The sequence below is a fragment of the Homo sapiens genome, chromosome 1 (assembly GCF_000001405.40).
Source record: "Homo sapiens chromosome 1, GRCh38.p14 Primary Assembly".
In the NCBI taxonomy this organism is placed as follows: domain Eukaryota; kingdom Metazoa; phylum Chordata; class Mammalia; order Primates; family Hominidae; genus Homo; species Homo sapiens.
In genome coordinates, this window is record NC_000001.11 from 43,469,934 (window position 1) to 43,477,110 (window position 7,177).

The 7,177-nt window shown below is 42.1% G+C and overlaps 2 annotated features.

The window, feature by feature from the left end:
• Positions 1,881–3,080: an enhancer, noted in NCBI's record as "P300/CBP strongly-dependent group 1 enhancer chr1:43937485-43938684 (GRCh37/hg19 assembly coordinates)". NCBI's record gives its function as "activates an origin of replication core promoter dependent on BRD2, BRD4, P300/CBP, MED14 and CDK7 cofactors, with strong dependence on P300/CBP, by STARR-seq in HCT116 cells {active_cell/tissue: HCT116}" and the evidence as "EXISTENCE:reporter gene assay evidence [ECO:0000049][PMID:35650434]".
• Positions 6,185–6,479: an enhancer, noted in NCBI's record as "tiled region #4928; HepG2 Activating non-DNase unmatched - State 7:EnhWF". NCBI's record gives its function as "activates a minimal TATA promoter and a strong SV40 promoter by Sharpr-MPRA in HepG2 cells {active_cell/tissue: HepG2}" and the evidence as "EXISTENCE:reporter gene assay evidence [ECO:0000049][PMID:27701403]".

Sequence of the window (7,177 nt, forward strand, 5' to 3'; positions counted from 1 at the left end):
CACACATATGTCTTACAAAGGCATCTAGAGTGTTGATGCTTCCTACTCACCAGGTCCAGTTAACATAATTCCATCAATGTCATGGACCAGAATGACATCCTGTAGGGTATCAAGATGATCAAGTTCCCATCACACTATATTATGACAGAGAAAAGGAAACTTGATATTGTCCTGGTGTAAGATAGTAGAGGTATACTATTTGCCCTGCTATGTAAATGCAAACTGCTTCGGATTTTCCTGGGGGAAAAAATGTTTTCTAGGTCAGAAGCTGAATGCCAGATATCATGGGCTGTGTTGAATTGCCACAGTAAGTATTTCACATTTAGTGCTGTAGCTGTGACTGACATCACTATGTGAATAAATGTACAAAGATCTCTTTCTCCATGCCCCATCTGGCTTTTGCACTAGCCAGATAAGTAAGTTAAATGGGGATGTACTGGGAATTGCCACCTATGCATATCTCAAGTTGCTGGTGGTAGCATTAATCACTGTAGTTTCCCCCAGGTTGAAGTATTTTTTACTTTCTTGGTATGGTGGGCGTGGAAGTGAGTGCTGGAGGGATCTCCATCAACAAGAGCTTCCACTTTGCCCTCCTTTTCACTACAAAAGTCTTAATTTCATGGGTCAAAGGACCAATATAATCATTCTGCCAGTTATTACATATCTCTCTTTTCTCTACACATTCTAGGAGTCAGGGAAAAACACAGGATGAATACCTGATCCTGTGGACACTGTGTTAGACAGACTAGGATGTATGGGCTAGGATTCCATACATCACCTGATTTTCATAAGTTCCAAATTTCACTGGTGGATGATGGTGGCACTTCAGGGTTCTGGGGATCAGAGTGAGTTCAGGGTCAATATTTATTAACCTTGGGAGTATCTAGTATATTTCCTTCTCCCTAGTGTATAGCTGCCCTGGTAAATGGCTGCAGGCCATTCTGAGGAAGGCTTTGGAGAAGACACACAATATACATCCGTGACCACATTGCAGGGTCCCTCCTCAGTTGTGGGTATCCGAGTTTATGAACTGACTTAGGTCTAGGAATTGGGTAAAAGGCCACGAATCTTCCTCCAGTTTCTACCCAGAAACCTAGAATTTTTCACCTGTATTTGTCAGGCAGCACCTTCACAGGCTGCCCAAGTATTTCATTTCTAGAGAACTGCGCCACAATTCACTACAGATTACAGCACTCTGATGGCCACTCTGTCTCTGTGGCTTGCGGGGCGCTACCTCCTGTCTGACCAGCAAGCATGGCCACCTTGCCTCATCTACTGTGGGGTCCCATTATTCTCTTTAAGATCAAGAAACCCAATTCCTTTGCATTGTCCCCAACTGTCATCTCCAGCCTATAGATGACAGTCACCACAGAGCTCTTCAAGGACTTCCAAATACCTTAGTGAGGGAAGTGTCCTTCAGACCTTCTCAGGGGCCGTGGTGAGGGAGAAGTGAGCAGGTTTGCACAGCACATTGGTGCTCACAGTGCGGTGATTCTCATCCATGCCAAAGTTCGAGAGCCACCGCTGTGGAACACGGCCTCTCCGACTTTAATGAGCACGCACGGCACCTGAGGATCTTTTTAAATGCAGAGTCTGGTTTGATAAGTCTAGGGTGGGGTCGAAGGTTCTGCATTTTCTGATGCAGGTGATGCCAGTGCCTCTGATCTGGGACAACAGCTCTGAGTAGTAATGCTGTAGAGGAAGGTGTCTGAAGACTCAGGAACATGAGGATCTAATGGATCTATTAAGTCAGGGAGTGGGGGGGTCTCAAATTTTAGTGCAAATCAGAATCACCTGGAAGCCTTATTAAAACACAGATTTCTGGGTCTCACCCCTACAGTTTCTGATTCTATAGATCTGAGGTTAGGCCCAAGAATTTGCGTTTCTAACAAGTTCTCAGATGATGCTGATGCTGTTGGTCCAGGGACCACACCTAGAGAAGTGGCTGTCTACCATCCTCCCAATCCACTCCCTGACCTTTCCCTTGACTACCCTGACTGTCCACCTAGGCGGGGTTTTGCACGTCTTTAAGAGTACAGCTAGCTTTTTCTGGAGCAGGCCTTCTACTTTGTTATGGGCCTGAAGGTAATAAGAGGTAAGGGAGGGGACCTGAGGAGAGTTAGCATTAGCATATGGGGCAACTGCCCTGGGAACAATGATTGTAAGGCTTTTATGCAGAGGAGAGATAGCTCCTTCAGCCAGAATAAAAGGTTTAGAGGAGAACAGAGGTTCAAAAGTCTCAGCCCAATCAGGCCTGCCTTTCAGGCATCCTGTATCCCCTTCCTGTATCTGAGAGTCCTCCCCGAGAACCTTGCCTTGGCATAAAAGACTTGGCCGCGTTATGCATTTAATTGCTGCTGCAAATCTACAACTTTAACAGTCAGACCATAGACTTAGTTCTTAGCCATATTTACCCTTCAATTACCGGAAATAAGGAACCCCTCAGGGCCACCATGGAGGCATTCTGGTTTTCCATGCGTCTTTTTAATTGTATTTCCATAGCCTTGATTTTCTCTTTTTCCCTATATAAATTTCTTAGGATAGTAAAAAGAATCCAGTTGTTTCTACTATTTTTTAATCACTGTTGTTGCCATAGCAATTAAGTGCCGGCGCTACTTGATCTCTTAATGCCTTGCCCATCACCTGCATTCCCTCCCATGCTCCCACCATTGATAATGTGGGTAATGATGATGTCACCACATGCCATGGATTACTCACTTCCTCATTCTTCCCCAGCAAGGTTATCGCTGTGTTCCTCAAATACATGAGCAACGGAATTCCAGAATCCCATTTTGAGGAACTATTTTCTGATTTCACAATGGCTATGTCAGTCTGAGTTCAAATAGGAAACAGATGGCACACTGAAATTAGTATAATTCAAGGAGGCTTTTATGAAGGGGCCATTTATGAAGGTTTGGACAGGGTATCAGGGACTCACAAAGGATAATGTAATCATCCAGAACTAATAACAGCAGAATTACTGACATCCCTAGGCCTGAAGGGATGAAGACAGGGAATGGTTTCTGGAATCCAGAAGGAAATTCCTGCAGAGTGAGCCATGTGGAGAGCAGTAGTGACTTGTGGTCAAAGGACACAGCCAGCTCAGGACGTGTAAGGGAGCTCTGTGGCTGGGTATCTGCATTGGCTGAACCCAACACAAAGCCAGAAGGCAAGGACTCCACTGGCATAGACCATGAGGGGGCTCTCCTAGGAAAGCGAAGGGGGAGGAAGCGTGGAGAGTGGATTTGGCCTGGTGAATGTTCCCCTAAACTTTTTCCGATACTGTTACTGTTTATTTTTCTTCACATTTAAATCTATCGTCTTGCTCTTTGTTTTCTATTTGTCTCATCTGGTTTTTGTTCCTTTATTTCTCTGTCCTTGCCTTCTTCAGGACTAATTACTTTTATTATTCTATTTTTTTCCTCTATTACCTTGTTAGTTTTATTAATACATTCTTTTTTTATTCTTCTAGTGGTTACTATAGAGATTAAAATATCTCCTTACATCACTATGAACTCATGTTTAGTTTAATATAGACACAGATAATTACATCCAGAAATATGTTTATATATCACACATACATATATACATAGGCACATACATCATACATACTTGTATATGACATGCACGTATATATATACATGTGTGTGTACACAGGCTAGTGTACACACATATCTTCCCTTACTCTGTCAGCTGAGAAGGCCTAGGAGCAAAGAACACCCCTAGCATCCAGTTCTAATGCCATTCTCATAACAGAAACCGGGGCTCCTCAGAGAAATGGATGGCTCAAATTGAAACAGAAAATATACAGGAGGACCCTGAATCATATTGTAGTACCGGAAAGTAAAGGAGTGTTAAAAAATGTTGAGAGTATGCCAAAAGGACACAGGAGTCAAATCAAAGAGCTCCCAATGGTCAACGCTGAAAATTTTTAAGCAAAAAAAAAAAAAAATAAGTAAAATAGTACTGGATTATAACTCAAAGTATAAAATAAATATCCAAGACTCCAGACTGATATAAATGAATGACTAAATATGTAAATAAATGGGAGAGGAGAAATCTCCCTTGCACCACGATTCCAAATAATTTATGTAGATACTCTGCCCTTGAAAAGGAGGGAAAGAATAATACCCCACTCCTTAATTATGGGGTGTACATAGTGACTTCCTTCCAAAGAGTACACTATTGAAAGGTGAAATAAAATAATTTTACAGTGGAGAAACCTGACAAACACTACCTCTGCCAGGGGATCAAGGTCAACATCAATGGCGATAGGTCATGTGGATAGTGTGTTCTTCTTGATAGGATGTGATGCAAATGACACTTTACCACTTGTTCTTCCTTCCTCCCCCTAAAAACAGGTCACCCCAATCTAATTATGAGAAAAACATCAGACAAATCTCAGCTGAGGGACATTCTATGAAATACCCAACCAGTTCTGCTCAGAACTGTGAAAAACAAGGACACATGAATGTATATGTGTATGTCATATACATATCCATTTGAGAAACTGTCACAGCCACAAGGAGCCTAAGCAGGCATAACAAGTAAATGTAATGTGGGATCCTAGATCAAATCCTGGACAAAAAAGGACAGTAGGTAAAAATTACAGAAATGTAAATACAGTGTGAATTTTAGCTAATGTATCAATATTGATTCATTACTTGTGACAAATATGTCATAATGTAAGATGTTAATAACGGGAAAGGGAATGTGGGGCACAGGAAAGCCCTCTGTACTATCTTCTCAATGTTTCTGTAAATCTAAAACTATCTAAAATAAGAAGTATATTTTAAAAATAGAACTCCTTGGCTCACTAGAGTTTGCCTTAAATTAGTACTTTTATTACTTCTCAAACAATGAAAGAAACTCACAACAGTTTAATTCCATTTATCCTTCTCTTCCTCCCTTTTGTGTAATTTTTGTCATCTATGTTATTTCTTTTTTTTGTTGTTTTTTTTTTAGATGGAATCTTGCTCCATTGCCTAGGCTGGAGTGCAGTGGCGTGATCTCGGCTCACTGCAACCTCCACCTCCCAGGTTCAAGGGATTCTTGTGCCTCAGCCTCCTGAGGGGCTGGGATTACAGGTTCATGCCACCACTCCCGGCTAATTTTTGTATTTTTAGTAGAGACAGGGTTTCACCATCTTGGCCAGGCTGGTCTCGAACTCCTGACCTCAAGTGATCCACCCACTTCGGCCTCCCAAAGTGCTGGGATTACAGGCGTGAGCCACTGCGTCCAGCCTGTTATTTCTACATGTGTTTTAAACTCCACAAGACATTATTGTTGTTATTTTAAACAATCAATATTCATTTAAACATACACTATATGTATGATATATGACAAATATATGAGGGGATATAGACAAATGGATATATATCACATATGTATATGTATATGAAAGATATAAAATACTCTTGGCCACGCACCGTGGCTCACGCCTGTAATCCCAGCACTTTGGGAGACCAAGGTGGATGGATTGCTTCAGCCCAGGAGTTCAAGACCAGCCTAGGCAGCATGGTGAGACTCTCTCTACAAAAAACACTAAAATTAGTCGGGCATGGTGGTACATGCCTGTAGTCCCAGCTACTCTGCAGGCTGAGGTGGGAGAATTGCTTGGGCCCGGGAGGTTGAGGCTGCAGTGAGCTGTGATCACGCCACTGCACTCTAGCCTGGGCAACAGAGAAAGACCCTGTCTAAAAAATAAAAAATAAAAAAAATTACTCTCCACCCTTCCTCCCCTTTCGCTTTCCTAGGAGAGCCCCCGCATGGTCTATGCCAGTGGAGTCCTTGTCTCCTGGCTTCGTGTTGGGTTCAGCCAATGCAGATCCCCAGCCACAGAGCTCCCTTACAGGTCCTGGGCTGGCTGTGTCCTTTGACCACAAGCCACCACTGCTCTCCACGTGGCCCACTCTACAGGAATTTCCTTCTGGATTCCAGAAACCATTCCCTGTCTTCATCTGGGGATGTCAGTAATTCTGCTGTTATTAGTTCTGGATGATTACATTATCCTTTGTGAGTCCCTGATACCCTGTCCAAACCTTCATAAATGGCCCCTTCATAAAAGCCCCCTTGAATTATACTAATTTCAGTGTGCCATCTGTTTCCTATTTGAACTCAGACTGACATAGCCATTGTGAAATCAGAAAATAGTTCCTCAAAATGGGATTCTGGAATTCCGTTGCTCATGTATTTGAGGAACACAGCGATAACCTTGCTGGGGAAGAATGAGGAAGTGAGTAATCCATGGCATGTGGTGACATCATCATTACCCACATTATCAGTGATGGGAGCATGCGAGGAATTGCAGGTGAAGGGCAAGCCCTTCTTTTGGACTTAATTACGGTTTTTCTCTCATTGCATTTTTCCTCTACAAGTTTTGAAAGCATGCATTCAAATTGTGTGCTTTTCGTGGTTACTGTAAACCAGTTTAGCATTCGTATTTTATCTAAAAATGTCTAAAGTCAATATCTGTATCATTGTCCCAATCAAGCCAAGGATTTGGGGATAGATGAACTCCAGTTGCCCTGCTTCAGACATACGTGCTACTGTCATCCTGTGTGTTAGATCTACGTTGTTGCCTTTAACCTCACAAATTTGACATCAACAAAATTTTGTAGTTTTATTTTTAGATTTATTCACATGCTTTTCATGTCTGTTCACAATTTTTTCTTGCATTTAAGGTGCTGCTTTTGAAATTTGCGATGCTACCTTATGCCTGGTATACACCAGTGGTGACGAGTAAACTGGCTCAGGGGCAGGGAAGGGCCCTGAATTGTAGTCAATTTCTGGTGTGGAAATGTACTCCCACCATGGCTTATTCCAAGCCATCAGTGTAACATCACTGAATGAGCAGGTGCGAAGAGATGTTCAAATTTTGTGGGCTCCAGCACACCACTGAATTGTTTCTTTTTCTTTTCTTTTCTCTCTTTCTGTTTTTTTTTTTCACAGCTTTATTGAAGTATAACTGATGTGCAATTAACTATATGTATTTAAATTAGATAAGTTCTCACATCATCATCACCAAAATCAAGATAATGAACATACCCATCACCTACAAAAGTTTCCTCATTTTCCTCCCACCCCTGTCTGACCCCACCCGTCCCCAGATAATCACTGATGTTTTTCCATCACTAAAGATTAATTTGCATATTCTAGCATTTCATATGAATAGAAT